Raw genomic sequence first — 17,324 nt, 5'->3', positions numbered from 1 at the left:
AAGGTGCTGTAGTCTGAATGTTTGTGCCCTCTACCGAATTCATATGTTGAAATCTTAACTGCTAAGGTGATGGCGTTAGCAGGTGGGGTCTTTGGGAGGTGATTAGGTCATAAGGGAGGAGCCCTTGTGAATGGGATTAGTGCCTTATAAAAGAGGCCCAAGAAAGATCCCTTGCTTCTCCACCATGTGAGAACACAAATAAATTGCCATCTATGAACTAGAAATTGTGCCATCACCAGACATTTAATCTGCCAGTGCTGTGATCTTGGACTTCCCAACCTCTGAGCTGAGAAATAAATTTCTGTTGTTTATAAGCCACTCAGTTTATAGTCTTTTGTTATAGCAGCTTGAATAAACTAGGACATAAGGGAATAGAAAAAAAAAAAACTTCTAAAATTTGAATTTGTATCTGTAGAGAGAATATCACATCCTAAAAATAGCAGGTTATGAAAAATTACCCAAAAAATCTTAGAAATTAGTAATTCACATTAAATGGATTGAAATTATATAAAAAAATACTTAGAAGGAGTGAAGACTAAGCTGGTAATCTGAAAAATGAAGAAATCTCTGAGAGAGAAGTCAAGGCATGTAGGATCAATTTAAGACATCCAGCATCTCTTAGAAGATTTACAAGGAGAGACAAAGACAACAGAAAGGAGGAAATAAAGAAATAAGAGAAGAAAATTTTCAGAGCTACTGTGTGCCAAGTAGGATGAATAAGATATATACTTAAACACAGCCTAGAAACTATCAGAATGCAGAGGAAAAAGAGGAGAAAAGCATCCAAAGGAACGAAGCAGCTTATTCTTTTCATTAGCAACTTGGATTCCAGAAGGAAAATTCAGAGACAAAGTGATTTTGACCTTATAAGTATTTGCTGGGTAAAACTTGCACTGAATTGTGAGAGCACAGTGAAGATGTTTTCAGACTTGGTAGGACTCTGATGCTATCAGACGGTCTTTAAATAATTTTCTGAGCCTGTACGGCAATTCAGTAAAATGAATCCAAGAAAGAAGCAAATATGAGATACAAGAAACTGTGAGACTCAGAGAAACAAAAAATTAAGTGTAAATGTTAATAAAAATGTAAATATTTAATAATGATTGGAACTAAAATTCCAGATAGTCATGGTTTGGGAAGTATATGGGGTGGAGGGAGGCATGTTAAGGATGCTGCCTTGTTTGGAGAGAGGCTGTAGATTTAGATTAACTCTACATCTTAATTGAAAATGGCTATGTATACTTACTAATAATTAAGTATTTCTGAAATTTTGGCGGCCAAAGTGGAGTAATTTGAGTAACAAAATAAATGATAGTATTGGATTGTAACCCAAAGAATAAAATAAATATGTCCTTACTGATTTAAATAAACAATTGACTAAATAAGTAAATGAGGGAAAAGGAACATATCCTCCTTACATAAGATTTCCAAATCATAAATGTAGATGGAAGGAAATAGAAAATCACCAATGGAATGTCATAGTAATAATTGCTACAGGCAAGATCCACAAATAAAGGGCAGGAACAGAGGGTATAACTTTCAGGAGAAATGGGATATTTGCAAAGCCTCAAACCATCTCCACTAACATATTTATTAATTACTGTGATGGTTTTAACGTACATCCACAATTGTTTGATATTCCTCCCTCCAAGAGGTGGTACTTTAGTCCCTTTCCATTGAGTGTGGCCAGACTTAGTGACTGCCTTCTGAAAACAAGAATGTGGAAAGGATAAACAAGTGACTTAACAGTGGAGAAACCTTGCAGACGCCATCTTAACCAAGCGACCAAGGTGAACCTCCCTGGAAATCTCTCATTGATATATGACACCATAAGAAGGGGGCGCTCATGTCCATGGTATTCTACCCAAAATCTATAGTTCCAGTCTAATTATGAGAAAACGTCAGACAAATCCAAGTAGTGGGACACTCTACAAAATACCTGACCAGCACTCCTCAAAAGCCAGTAAAAACTGAGAAACCATTGCATATTAGAAGAAACTAGGAGACACGAGGACTAAGTGCAACCTATTATCCAGATGGGATCCTGGGACAGAAAAAGGCTATCAGTGGAAAAATTGGTGAAATTCAAATAAAGTCTGTAGTTTAGCTAATAGTACTATGCTAATATTAATTTCTTAGGGTTTTCTTTCTCACAATTTCTTAGTTTTGATAAACATACTATGATTGTAAGATGTTAATATTTGGGGAAGCTGAGTCAGATGTTTATGAGAACTCACCATACCCTCTCTGCAACTCTTCTGTAAGTCAAATTAATTCCAAATAAAAAGACAATTAAGCACTTAAGGTATAAAAATTAGGGATTTCACTCCCAAAGCATTATAGGAACAACAGGATGGAAAAATGAAAATTTGATCAGCCTAAGAGTAGCTATGGAAAAAAAAAATTACAGTAAATAGGAAGCCTGAAATAATAAATGAAAGGGAATAAGGTCATTTCACATTAAATTGTAAATGTTCACAATTAATTGATATTAGCTAATTCATTACATTACATTAATGAAGTTAATGTACACTAGTTAATGTCAGTAATGTAATTACTTAAATTCATACATTAAAAACTGAAAGATCAGCTTGTAAAAACTGTAAATTCAATTAAAAGCTATTTACAAAAGTCACAGAAAAGATGATAAAGAAAAGTTTAAAATAAGGGGGTATGAAGAACTAAGCTGTATATCAGAAAAATAAAATTTGAGGTGAAAAACATTAAAGGGCAAGGAGGTATGTTTTATATAGTAGTATTTGCTATATAGAATCATCTATATATATACACTAATAACATACTATGTAAACATAGATTACATATGTTGTTAAATATTATAGTTATATATTTATATAATATCATTATCATGAACCTTTATGTACTTAACCCATAATTATAAATATAACCTATGATTAGAGAAATTGATGGATTGACAAAACCATAATTAAGGAGATTTTGATACTCTTCTTTCATAAACGGAAAGATCAAGTAGACCTAATATAAGCAAAGAAAGAATTAACAATTTTGTTCTAAAAGATATATAGAACTTTATGCACAACAGAAAACAGGTATTGTTTTCAAGTACCCATGGACGATTAACAAAAACTGTGTATTAGGCTATGAAGAAAATGTCAACAAATTTTAAAAAGTAGATGTCATGCAGGACACATTCATTGTTGACAATGCACTGAAATAAGAAATGAGCAACTAACAAATAGTCAAAAAAATAAAAAACCAAACATACTATTGCCTTGAAAATTAAAAACACCTTTATATAGGTATTTAATAAAAGTCTTAGATTAAAATGGAACTATCAACTGAAATTATAAACTAATTAGCAATGAATGAACATGAACTCACTATATATAAAAATGTGTGGGGTACAACAAAATGCCACTAGGAGGAAAATTTAGATCCTCTACTTTGCTGCCCAATAGAACTTTCCACAATGATGAAAATGTTGTGTAATTATACCGTCTGATAATCCACACTTACCACATGAGGATGTTGAGAATGTGAAATATGGCTAGTGCAACTGAACTGAATTTCAAACTTTAATTAATTTTAATTAACATAAGTTTAAATAGCCGCATGTGGCTACTGTATTGGACTACACAGTTCTATATTCTCAATAAAGCATTACCAGAAAAAGAAAAAAATAAACATTTATAGTTAAGAAGCAAAATGAACTCAACACCAGTAATAGGTATTATATATATATTTTAAAATTAAAACATTAAACAATATAAAAACTCCATATGAAATGGATTTGTAAAATGTATATGAACAAAATTCATTTAAGAGAAGGTGAGAAACTTCAATTTACCATTAATCAATAAGGAACTATAAAATGAAATGTAAGATCCAGCTCTATAAATGTCTTCAGAACCAGATTTTCTAGACATGTTTTACCTAAACTTAAGATGCAGATAATTTCTGTGTTTTATAAACTATTCAAGACCATAGAACAATATTTTATTCTTCAAGGCTGGCATAACCCTGATACCTAAACAAGATAAGGCAATACAATAAAACAAAATTATATCAAGATTCATTTATGAACATAGATGCAAAAATCTAAAGGTGAAGGCATTGAATTCATTACACATTATGAATAGGTTTATCCCAGCAATACTGTGATGGCTTGACATTAGGAAATCTATTAATATGATTCACTGCCTAACAGATCAAAGAATTAAAAAAAAATCATGTTATACTGAAAAAGCATTTAATAAATATCAACACCCTTTTCTGATGTAAAATTCTTAGCTTCCAAATAGAAACTTTTTTAACTGATAAAGGATATTGATCAGAAATCTTCAGTAAGTATCATATTTAGTAGTAAAATGATTTGAAATATTCCCACTAAAGTCAGGAACAAGACAGGAACACCTACTGTCACTCCTGTTATTCACCTTTGTTTTGGATGTTCTAGCCAATGCTTTAAAGTCAAATAAAAGGCATAAGTTCTGGAAATAGAGAAAAAAAGTGTAATTTTTTGAAGGCGGTAGGATTGCCTACCTAGGAAATTGAGAATAATCAATGGAAATGTATTGGAACTGAACAGAGAGTACTATAAAGTGCATTACTTGAAGCAAGTTCCTTATACAGAAATCAATAGCGCTTCTATATGTCAGCTATAATCAATCAGAAAATGTAGTGAGTAAGAAGAGATCCCCTTCACAGTGACCTCCAAAGGTTGAAATATCTGGGAATACGTAGGACATATCTGGGAATACATGCTAGGACACATGCAAAATCGATATGAAAGTCCATAAAACTGAAGATCATAATAGACCCAAATTCTCTAAGATGCATACTTCCTAAATACGGAGATTTAATATAGCAACAATATTTTCTAATTAACTGTTAAAATAGAGGCCACCATAATTAAAACTTTAACAAGGTTCCTTGACAAACTGATGCCGATTTCTGTTGGAAGAGAAATTGTTGGAAAATATATAATAACTGAATTGAAAAATAACAGGGAAACATGCTCTGTCAAATATCAAAACACACTATAAAGAGCTAGTAATTAAGCAGTGTGGTATTAACCAGGAATAGGCAAATAGATCAGTGGATCAGAATGAAGTCCAGAAACACACACACACCCCCACACACCCCTACCTGGCATTGTGAAAACTTCGCTCTTGAAAACACTGAGAGAAGGTTAGTCTGTTCAGTAATCCTGTTGGGTCAATTAGTTCTGCATTTAAAAAAGAAAACTGAAAGCAGATACCTACCTCATATTCATCACCAAATAAACTCCAGCTGGGATAAAAAGCTAAATGCAAAAATAAACCCTTAAAAGTATTAGAATACTCTACCAAAGCATATTTTAACATAAATGGAGATGGCTTTGAAAGCAAGATAAAATTCACCAAAGCCATAAAGGAAACAGTAGATTTGTTACTAAATATTAAATATTTATTAGTGACAAGAGACCTTATAATCAGAATTAAAGGGCTGGGCACGGTGGCTCACACCCGTAATCCCAGCACTTTGGGAGGCCAAGGTGGGCGGATCACCCGAGGTCAGGAGTTCGAGACTAGCCTGGCCAACATGGTGAAACCTCATCTCTACTAAAAATAAAAAAATCAGCCAGGCATGGTGGTGGGCACCTGTAATCCCAGCTACTCAGGAGGCTGAAGCAGGAGAATCTCTTGAACCCAGGAGGCAGAGGTTACAGTGAGCCGAGATCACGCCACTGCACTCCAGCCTGGACGACAGAGTGAGACTCCTCAAAAAAAAAAAAAAAAACAAAAAAAAAGAATTAAAGGCAGAGTGACAGACTGGAAAAAAAAGTGGTTGACTAATATCCAGACTGTATAAACTCCCACAAAGCAATAAGAAAAATACAAACCACAAATAGGAAGGTGAGCAAAGGGAGTAAATGGGCATGCATGATAAATATGTGATAATAAAATGCAAATTGCCACTAAAATGAAAAGGTACTCCATTCATTCAAAAAATGCCAATAAAAAGGATAAGATTTTTTGCTCACAATACAAAATTTTTTTAAAGGTTAAGAATAATCAGTCTTATTAAGGGTTTGGGGAAATGAGTACTCATATATACTGCTTACGGGGATATAAATTTTTGTATCCTTTGGAGTATGCAAAACAAGTAAAAGTTTACTTTCTGATTTTCTAGTTTGGATTCGAGGATATATGCTTATTTGCACACAGATGTATTTATAAATGTATTCATCATGGCACCGTAATAACATCAAAACCCAACACTGGGAGAATGTCTCAATCAATTGTCATCATCGAAAATAAGGAAGACTGGATCAAGATGACAGATGAGCACATTTACCCCTGATCCCAACAAATAATAGAAAACGTATTTTTATGAGAATAAATCTATAACCGCCTGGAAAATGAGAATGTTCCCAGTGAATCAGAAATTTTGAGGAATTGTTGAACTATATTGTTAAATGAAAAAAGCAACTCACTTCAAAAAATACTAACAGCCCATTTATGAAAAGCTATGTATGTGTGTATCGTACTTATATGTTTGACACAAAAATCATCTGGAAGGATAGACACCAGACTCTTGACAGCAGTTCCTTTCAGAGAAGGGATTGAATTAGGATATGAGAGATGGTAAAGGAAGGTTGACTATTTTATAAAAAAAAGGAAGAAAATTAGGTGAGCAGGTGGAAGTGCCAAAGCTTTGCTTACTTTACTATTGCCTAGTTTCTTGCACCTCACCTGTTCTTTCTTGCAACCCTCAGGAAACCAGGCTGAAAAGAGAAGGAAGCCCCACGGGGCCACTTACACCAGCATCCTGCCCTGTGGAGTTGCTTCTTTGCCAAGCTGCCTTTCTCTTTGTACAAGTATTTCCAGCCCCTTCCCTCACTCTTAGCTTCAACTCTAATCACCTCCCAAATCTGTTTTCTCATACAGATGTCTATGGCCTGGCATTTCCAATTGTCTTCTATTTCCATTAATTTAAGCATCCCCATTCTTTGGCATTTTCAGTGGGTTGAGTTCATTAGCTGTAGAGAATAAAACATACAGAAATAAAACATGAAGTTGGGAATGCTCTTTTTCCTAATTGAATATACTTGAAAATATCTCCAAATGCAAATGGCCTTTTTGGTTCCTAATATTGAGGTTTGAATAGCACATATATTCCATTGAAAGGACTTTATTTCAGTGTTTCTTATGATTTAGGAATTTAAATCTTTCTCTGTTCCCTGGAATGTGTGTTTCACCAAAATAAATCATGTGGGAGAGTCATGACTTTGATCCTTTCAGCAATAAACAGATTTTCCAGCAGGAAAGACTTTTGGAAAACTGAGTCATAAGAACTCTATCATTTAATAGGATGAGAGAGAAATTTGCAGAAAAACTGAAGTAGAATAGCATTGGTAGGCAAAATGTTTAAAAACAGGGTGACCTTCAGATCTAATCACTAGTCTAGGTACTGAAGATGTGAAATTAGTAGTTCCTGTCCTTGAGCTGCTTATAGTTGACCATCTAGCCAGTCAGACTAGATATGGAGTCAATTGTTGTGTTATTTGTGAGCTTTATTTATCTTATCCTCTCATACATGACATTTTCCCTATGCCTAGGCAATAATTATGTGACGCCTCTGCTTCCTTCTCTTTCAGGCAAAAATAGACATCTTATTAGTTGGAGATGTCACTGTGGGCTACCTGGCTGATACTGTACAGAAACTATTTGCAAACATAGCAGAAGTCACCATCACCATCAGTGACACGAAGGAGGCAGCAGCGCTTTTGGATGATTGCATATTCAACATGGTTCTCTTGAAGGTGCCTTCTTCACTAAGTGCCGAGGAGCTGGAAGCCATCAAGTTAATTAGGTAAACTTCAAAAGCCTTGATGCTGTATCTTTAGAATCATTTTTTTAAAAACCCATTTTTTAAAAACTCCTAAAAAGATGATATATTTCTATTTTACTTTTCAAATTGAGGGGCCAGGGATTGGCTCATGCGTGTAATCCTGGCACTTTGAGAGGCCGATGTGGGATGATTGCTTTAACCCGGGAGTTCCAGACCTGCCTGGGCAACATAGTGAGACCTCTGTCTCTACAAAAAATTTTAAAAAATTAGCCGGGCATGGTGACATGCACCTATAGTTCCAGTTACTGGGAGGACTGAGGTGGGAGGATTGTTCAGGAGTTTAAGGCTGCAATGAACTATGATCATGTCACTGTACTCTAACCTGGACGACAGAGTGAGATGCTATTTCTAAAAAAAAAAAATGAGGGATATTTTCATGGGGAGAGTCTATGTACATGTTGTTTTTATTTCCAGTTTGTGGTATTTTATTATAAGGAATTATTTTAACTTGAAAATAGGTACGGATTAGAATGTAAGAATCAATTTGTCATAGAAATTTATTTAGTATGCAATGCTTACATTATTCCCACACATACTCCTTTTTAATAACTGTATCATTAAAATGGTACATCTTTCCAGAGTTCATTAATTGTAGTGGCAGACACTAATAAGGAAGTGAGCACTCTTAGCTCTCTGTCCTGTTAGCTGGGGACTGAGGTGTCTCCTGGAGCCATGGGGCCTTCTGGATTCACTGGGTCCAGAAACCACCACCTCCAGTGTTCTTGTTTCGTCTTGCAGTTCCACATAAGTTCTGCTTCTTTTCTTTTCTTTTTTTTTTTTTTTTTTTTTTTGAGGCAGAGTCTCGTTCTGTTGCCCAGGCTGGAGTGCAGTGGCGCCATCTCGGCTCACTGCAACCTGCACCTCCCGGGTTCAAGTGATTCTCCTGCCTCAGTCTCCTGAGTAACTGGGATGACAGGCAGGTGCCACCACGCCTGGCTAATTTTTGTATTTTTAGTAGAGGTGGGGTTTTACCATATTGGTCAGGCTGGTCTCAAACTCCTGACCTCGTGATCCACCCACCTAGGCCTCCCAAAGTGCTGGGATTACAGGGGTGAGCCACCATGCCTAGCCAAGTTCTGCTTCTTTTTAACCCACTCCAGCTCTAGAAAATTGGAGCCCAGTGGTGGGAGAGTTAGATTCTTCCCTGCCACTTAGGATGTATTTAGATAGGGTTAGATCAGAGCAAATTTGTTCTCCTTCCATGAAATACTTAATAGATAAAGTGGAATTGTCAATTATATTGGAACATATGAGAGCTTCTCTGCATTACAAGATAAGCCTCTTTTTTGGCTAAAAAATTCAGAGACAATATTTTGATCCCTGAATAAACAGGCAAGCAAAGTATGTTAAGGGAAAAGAAAGGTTGAAATGAGAAGCCCAAGCCATCAAGTTACTTATTAAACAGAGAGACAGACAGACAGATACTACTCTTGGGGTTTCTTAGAACAACTGGTCTGCATTTCTTTTGGCTTTCTACAAGGTATATGAACTCTAGACACATCAGGCAAACTATCTACCTCAAAGTGAATTCCACTTCTAAAACCTGTTGTAAACTATCCTACTTCTGAGAATATGCTTATTTTATTACAAGCCTTAAAAAAAGGGAGTTCCCTTGGCTGGGAACTCATCATAATACTTCATTTATATCATATTTTAAAATTTTTTACAGCAGCTACATGAGGCAGGTGGAGCAGGATTTTATTGTCCTTACTTGACAGATGAGAAAACTGAGGCTGAAGTGACTTGCCTAAGACCACATGGCTCATTTTTACAAAACTAGATGAGAACTCTACTCTTCCCTTCATTTTCTTTCTAGAAGTCTGTAATTAATTGACTTTTGTATTGAAACCACCTCTTTTTCACCTGTGAGGTTCAGTATGTGCCAAGCTGGGTGTATATCAAACATAGATATGGTTTTGAAAGAGCCCCAGACAATTCAATATGGCTGGTCTCTCTCTTCATTCCAAGATTAGGACCCTAGCTATGCCTCTCTGAATGGAGTAAAGCTTTGCATTTGCTCACTATCAGAGCCACCTTTTGAACAAGATAAGAGTGAAGTTCTGTTTAAGAACCAGCTTTATGTTTAGCTGCAGATATTAAAACCTAGAAGGTTAGAGGAGAGAATTTCTTGTCTGATACTCACTTCAGCAGCTTTTATTGCCCTGAGTAACATAGCTTAAGATTTCTTAGCAGAGAAAAGAAAGTAGATGAAGGTACCAAGTGTATAGCTATGCAAACGGTAGTTCTGTTATTTTGCCTTAAAAGAAATCATTTGTTTGAAAGAAAACAAATAATTTGTGGAATACACCTGGACTTGTATTCCTTGTTTGTCTCCTGTTGCACTATTCCCAACACCCAGTGAAGGTCTTGACTACCAGCAGGTGTTATCTGCCTTGCTGTAGCTCCAGTGAATGCCTGTATGGATGGGTGGGAGAAGCGCCATCCTAGGCAGGCAATGCCTTCTAGCTTTTTTGCTCCTCTCTGCAAGGGGACAGAGTCGTTTGGTTATGTGTGTGTGTGTGTGTGTGAGGGTGTGTAAGCTTTGCTTTCATGGTGCTGTCCTCAGAGGCTATGAATGTCTCTGAAGTTGCCTTTCCTGCCCTCAGAATTGTTATGAGTTTATGAATTGTTTAAACCCCTGTAGAGGATGTTTCCAGTTTTCAACCTATAGTTTTTCTTATGGTAATGAGTCTTGTACATGTACTGCCCCATTTGTAAGGAGTTTAAACCTTCATCTATCCTAAAGCACTACATCTTTTGAGTTTGGGCTAATATTTAATGACTAAACCAAAATGAAAAGCCTGGCTCTACTTTTCTTCTGCTGTATTTTAAATTTTTCTCTTTAGATCTTTGTTGTTGTCTGGTAATATTTCAAAAGCTATGTAGGTCTAGGAAAATGTACAACTACGTACCTTACTCTTGTTTCTCTGGGTGCTTTATGTCTCCTGTCAATGAATGAGGAATTGATGATAGAATGAAAGTGGCCATATATATGTTCAGTATTAGAGCACATGATCACAAATCTATACATCTGTAAGACATATAGATTTTTATTGAAAATAAGAATGAAGTTTAGCCTGTTAGCTATAATATTAGATTTATTTTAGAATAAAATGAAAGCAGCTTCCTTAAAAGATTCTTAAATTTAATCTTACAAAACTATGTTTTAAGCTAGGTGCTAATCATTCACTGACTTTAATCATGCATAAAATATCAGTACTTTACAGACTTTCTCAAGAATTATGGCACATCTCACTTATAGGTTAACGTTCCTGATAGTACTGCCTAATTTGTTTTCATCTCAAGAATGTATTGAAAGAGTATATTTTTATTGAGCAGATGAACTCAGACACTACCTAGTGGTGACATATTTTAAGATAATCTTAGGATTCGTATGCTTAGCTCCAGAATTCCAGGGATATTTCACTCTTGGCTTGGATAAGTTTTCACAATTGAGGATACTCAAAGGGCAGATACTTGATAATTCAGACACATCCTGATACTTATCTTCCAAAGACAGGTACAGAAAGTTTAAATATGTTTTAAACTCGTCAGTATATGGGGAGTTGCGGTTTTCTTCTCAATGAAATGGTTCCGCAGTTAAAATTCTGTGATTCTCATGAGCTCAGAGCAGTTTAGCAACAGAAAAGGAACGCAGGATGTGGCTCCATCTGCTCCGTCAACAAATCAAGTTTGAATCTGATTTCATTTCTTCCCCATGTAGCTTTAATTGTCTGACCAGCTAACTGATCACTAAGAAAACCCAATCTTGTGAGCCACGGAGATCTAACAAGTTGTCCTTTTATGTCTCCAAGACATCCTTGACTTGACAATGTAACTCATTAAATCTTACTAGGTAGTTTACATGACCTACTCCTCTGAATATTCGACAATAAACACAGTAACAGCAAAACATCTAAGTAGCTTTACTAAAACCTTTGTCCTACGAATTGGTGGAGGAAGTGAATAGGAACTGAAGACAACTCCAGGTCTTTATAACTTCTAGCACCATGTCACATGGTGAATGTTGCAGCAGGAGCTCTGTGGGAGAGCCGAGTGGGAACAGGGCACACCACTCTTCACTATTAGCCAGAATAAACTATCAGAGCTTAATTAAGTAATTAACAAAGAACATTATTTGTTACAAGTCCCATGTAGGTCATACCAGGTTAGTTTGGCCGCATTTAGCCCACGGACAGAATAGTGGGTAACTGTACTCAAGAAAACCACAACCCAAAGATGATACTGGCTTTTGTCCCTGGAAATCCTTATGGCTCTAAGAGAAGTAAAGGTAGAAATTTCCGCAGGCTTCATAGGGACTTATAACACCCTTTGGCCCTCTTAGATGATAGATTTCAGAGGCCAGGGCTTTCCTGAGACCCTTTGATCAGCAGAGTGTACAACTCAGCTCAAAACACTTGTATATGATCTTTGTTTTTTCAGCTACCAGAGACAGATCCGGGGATGGGGGCAAGACAGTGGGTGGGTACTGCTGCAGGTTGAGCGATGCTGGCTCCAGTTCTAGAGGGCACTGCAGGCAGGCATAGGAATGGAACCCAGAATATCAGTATCCAATCTCAAAAGTGAGGTGTAGCCTCAGGAAACATCATGACATTTAAACAGCGTAATCGTGAAACATGAGGGAAAATGGATTGTCCCCAAATAAATTGCAAACACAAGAGACATTAATTGAGAAGGTCTCAGAGCCTACAGTTTGATTTTGGTATATAGAAGAGGAAGTACTATCAGTTGGTGTGGATAAAAGTGATTTTTATTTTGGTTTGTTTTTGCATTGCTTAGTTTTGTTTCAAGGAATATTCATTCACAAAAAAAGAGAACATTTTCTGGTTGATCCTAGAAACTAGAAACTCTTTTAGCTTATTGATTTGTAGGGAATGTGAATGAACAGCTGAGCTTAAGACCAGAGTATTGGATTCTGGGAACTCTTATCGATTGCAGGAGTTCCCTATATAGCAGGGGGAGTGTGTGTTTGGTAATTGATTCTGTGCTAATAACAAAAGTCCAAGAATCCCACCTTTGTCTGATGTAAAGCTTGAAATTTGAAAGTCATCAGGGCATATAAATCCATATATCCATATCTTACATATTTTTGTGTCAGTAAAATTAATTTTCAAATTTTTGAAAAGTCGGGTTTTCAAAAATGGACATAGGAAGATTTCTAAAAGCAAACAACCTGTTTTTAAAAAATCATTTAACTGTATTTAACTTAGGATAATTTACTTTTTTGAATCCACTATGCAGTATTTTTTATTTCAACATTTAAACTACCCAATAATTTTCTTTCAGTCCCATCTGCTCAGTCCATTATTCCCTTTCACCTCTCTTTCCTCATTCTGTTGTCTGTACCTCCGTTATAATCCACACTTTCTCATCACCTAAAAATATGTATACGAGGCTAGGCATAGTGGCTCTTGCCTGTAATCTCAGCACTTTGGGAGGTTGAAGCGGGAAGATTGCCTGAGGCCAGGAGTTTGAGACCAGCCTGGGCAACATAGTGAGAACCCATCTCTACTAAAAATACAAAAAAATAGCCAAGTGTAATGGCACACACCTGTAGTCCCAGCTACCTGGGAGGCTGAGGTACAGGATCGCTTGAGCTTGGGAGGGTGAGGCTGTAGTGAGCCTTGACCACGCCACTGCACTCCCGCCTGAGTGACAAAGCAAGACCTTGTCTCAAAAAAAAAAAAAAAATTATCTATCTATCTATCTATCTATCTATCTTTCTGTCTGTCTAAAATGTATATATTTATTTTCATATATATATGAAATGCTGACATCCTGGCAGGCATCATTCTGATCCCCCTATTCCCTCTGTGTCACCACACCACCTACACCAGTGTAGGAAGTGCCTTTCTTACCTCCACATTTGGTTGGCCAGGCAAACTCTATCCTCCCTCCTGCATATGCCTATTTTGATGATAATATTCTGAGTTTCTCATTTCCTCATAGAAACCATATATTCTTTCCTTTCCTCTCTCTCAGCCTAAACTCCCCAGAATTCATAGCACAGAATCAAGTCTGAATGGATGTCAATGTGGTGTCACATTTTCTTAATAATCCTGCTAGTCTGAAGTAATTAATTTAGTAAATACTCTGAAATATTTAACTTTACCAAAGGTTCACGGGTATGCCCGCTTTCCTTACCATCAGCTCTTGCCTGGATCACTGCCCTAGGGTCTTTCCAGTCCACCTGTGTCACCCCTATCAGCGCATCCCATCATAGGCAGAGTGGTCTTTCTAAAATGCAAATGTAATTGTGTTGGTTGCTCCTGAGCTTCATAGCTTTCCGTTGCCCATTTTTCTTCAATACCAAACCTTTCCTGTGGCCTAACAGGCCTTCTGTGAGCAGAGCCCAGCCCTCCCTCGCTCTTTGGTCTCCACTTATGCTTTTCTTCCTCAGATGCCCTGTGCCAGAGCTTTCCTGGACATCTTGTACCTTCTCAAACTCACCTGTTCTCGACCACCCCAGGGCTCCTGCATATGCTGTGCCTTTTGCCCAGAGTGTTCTGTGCTGCACATCTGCTTTCTGCCCTCCCCCTCTCCCCAGCCTTTTCTGTGTCTAGCCAGCACCAAGGGTTGTCTGCCTGGAAGCCTTCCCCAAGGCTGCTGAGGCAGGTTGGTGCCCAGACGTGGACTCCTCTTGGCCCTTTTGGTTTTCCTTCCTGGCATTGGACACATTTTCAGCCATAAAATTATCTATAATGATTCGTTTAATGTCTTTTTGCCCCAAGACCTCCAGCTGTGTGAGAGCAGGAACCTTGTCTGTCTGTTTACCATGATATCCCCCAGAGCCTAGCACAGAGCTGGCACATAAGAGGTTCTCAATATATATGACTCAGATATATAAATTTATATTAATATATAATGTAATTTGAAATATAGAATGTATACTTACTTCCAAATGCATATGTAAGATAAACTAACAATGTTATACAGTGGGGGTGATCCCAGTTCTCATTTTAATAAATAAATAATAACCATATGTAACCACATGCTAATAAATGATGTTTTAAAGTATTTGAGAATAGTTTGCTTTTCTTAGGTAGTTTTAAACTGTTCTCTTTAAAATCTCTTTCACAGTCACATTCTCCCTGCAAATCATTTCATTTTGGCTAATGCCAAGGCTCAGTATCCATCCAATTATCGAATTCCAGACTTACTGTACTGAGTTTAGTGAACTATAATGCCACTTTAAGAAAAAAGTTTTATTTGAAAAATTTCAAGAAATAAAAGGGGAGAGAGTATAATAATACACCCATAATGTAGCCTCAGCGGTTACCCACATCTGGCTCATCATGTTTCTCCCTACCTTCCCACCCCTGCCCACCAGTGGATTATTTTAAGACAAATCTAAAATACTGTTTTATTTCATCCATAAATACTTTAATTGGTACCTCTCTAAGGTGAGGACTCAGAGAATAACCACAAAACCCATATTATACCTGAAAATTAGTAATCACTTCTTAGTATTGTCAAATATCCCATTAGCATTCAAATTTCCCTGCTTATCCTTATGATTTTTTTTAAACTGTGAGTTTATACAAATCAGGATTCAACTTTCCTTTTTCTTGTCTTGTTCTTTAATTATATATATATTTAAAAGGAGTCATTTGTCTTACAGAATTCCCCCCATTCTAGATTCTGCTTGTTTCATTCCCATGATGTTCTTTAAAATGTTTCTTTCCACAAAATTCTTGTAAACTGATGATCTGACCAAAAATTTGGATAAAGTTTAGGCTTTTTTTTTTCATTTTTAAGAAAAAGTGATTCATCTCTTTCCTCACTGATTTGAGATGCTACTTTTACTAAATTTCCATATTAATGATATTATTTTAAATTCTAAAGAAATGAAGAAAATCACTGTAGTTAGTTCCTAATAAGCTAAACTCCTGAATCTCAATTTTTTGAATAATGATTTTGCTTCATTTTAACATTTTCTTTCCTCTCTCAGATTTGGCAAAAAGAAAAATACACATTCACTGTTTGTTTTTATAATCCCTGAAAATTTTAAAGGTATGTACCTGCTAAATATAGTATTTGTTTTTTCTCTAAATAGAAACTATAAGGTCAATATTTAATATAAAGATTCTTAGGTTGTATTTCAGGGCATGGAATGGATATTGCTTTAACTGAACCACTGACAATGGAAAAAATGAGTAATGTGGTAAAATACTGGACAACATGTCCCTCAAACACTGGTGAGTAAAAAATTTCCAAAGGTTTCAAAATTTGAATTAAAATCTTTGAAAACTCTGCTCATATATTCTGACAAAAACAAGCATAAATAAAATAAAGGGAGAAATATGTATTCTTTACCTGGAAAGAAAAAAACTACATCTTCAGAGGTTTAGAATGTGTTGCCCAAGGGCAAATACAGTGCTGCGGTAGGCACAGGGTTTTGGGTGGGGGGTTGAAGCAGCATTGTGTTACTGTTTTTCTTTCTTTTTTGGTAGCCTAGCTACCATAATTTCTTACTCATTAAAATGGAATTAACTGTGCTGTGTCATTGTGTGATTATCTAAAAGCCAGGGGCCCTAACCTACAATTGTATTGTGCTTTCTTCTTTGCAAAACACTTGCATAGAAATTATTTTACTTCTTAAAGTTAATAGGGTGGTTGCCCTTTCTGTTTCAGATTTTAGATGCAGAGGATTAATGTCAATGCTTCAATTAGACCTCACATTTCTAAACTCTTTGCCTATTATATTAAGCATATCACCAGTATCTAAACACTTTAATTAAACTAGCTTTCATTTGGCTTGTGAAAGGACAGACTCCAATTACGGAAATTAAATTCTACTGGAATCATTATTGGTCAGTGACTATTTTTGGTCTTTCTCGGCCTGGGATACTAAATAAGAAATCTTTTAAAATTAAGATGATGTTAAATTGGGACTATTGTTGGTCAAGGGGTACAAGGTTTTGGTTATATAAGATGAACAAATTCTGGGGGTCTAATATACACAGTGTGACTATAGTTAACAATACTGTATTGTCTACTTGAAATTTGCTGAGAGGGTAGATCTTACGTGTTCTCATCACCAGAAAAGGTAACGATGTGACGTGATAGATATGTCAATTAACTTGATTGTGGTGATTATTTCACAATATATATGTATATTATCAACTCAAGTTGTACACCTTAAATATGTACAATTTCGAATTGTCAATTATACTTTAATAAAGCTGGCAAAATTAAGATGATTTTTTCTTAAAATGGGCCTGAAAGACATTTTCTGGATTCTCCTGATAATGATTATATGAGATTTACTTTAACAGTCCTTTTTTAATGTTCTTTTTAAATATTCAGATGAGTGAGTCTGTTTGTGACATTCCAGTGGCTCCCAGCCCTTGTGGTTCTTCCTGGAAATGGCTAACTTTGGTGACCGAGGGCTTTTGCAACCTCTTCTTATTTGGTTCTCAGTGAAA

The 17,324-nt window shown here is 36.2% G+C and overlaps 2 protein-coding genes across 3 annotated transcripts in view; both read left to right on the top strand.

The window, feature by feature from the left end:
- The window catches only part of CCDC169-SOHLH2 (CCDC169-SOHLH2 readthrough), a 129,598-nt gene that overhangs the window by 88,100 nt on the left and 24,174 nt on the right, over positions 1 to 17,324 (top strand). The window contains exons 7-9 of the mRNA NM_001198910.2: positions 7,622 to 7,836; positions 15,848 to 15,909; positions 15,990 to 16,094. Coding sequence (NP_001185839.1) covers positions 7,622 to 7,836; positions 15,848 to 15,909; positions 15,990 to 16,094 — 382 coding nt within the window. The remainder of the gene's footprint in view (positions 1 to 7,621; positions 7,837 to 15,847; positions 15,910 to 15,989; positions 16,095 to 17,324) is intronic.
- SOHLH2 (spermatogenesis and oogenesis specific basic helix-loop-helix 2) overlaps positions 1 to 17,324 on the top strand; it is a 46,340-nt gene that overhangs the window by 4,842 nt on the left and 24,174 nt on the right. For both annotated transcript variants that reach the window (NM_017826.3, NM_001282147.2), the window contains exons 2-4: positions 7,622 to 7,836; positions 15,848 to 15,909; positions 15,990 to 16,094. In NM_017826.3, coding sequence (NP_060296.2) covers positions 7,622 to 7,836; positions 15,848 to 15,909; positions 15,990 to 16,094 — 382 coding nt within the window. The remainder of the gene's footprint in view (positions 1 to 7,621; positions 7,837 to 15,847; positions 15,910 to 15,989; positions 16,095 to 17,324) is intronic.

This window comes from Homo sapiens, chromosome 13, assembly GCF_000001405.40.
Source record: "Homo sapiens chromosome 13, GRCh38.p14 Primary Assembly".
NCBI classification, from domain to species: domain Eukaryota; kingdom Metazoa; phylum Chordata; class Mammalia; order Primates; family Hominidae; genus Homo; species Homo sapiens.
This window is presented reverse-complemented; position numbering and strand designations above follow the sequence as displayed.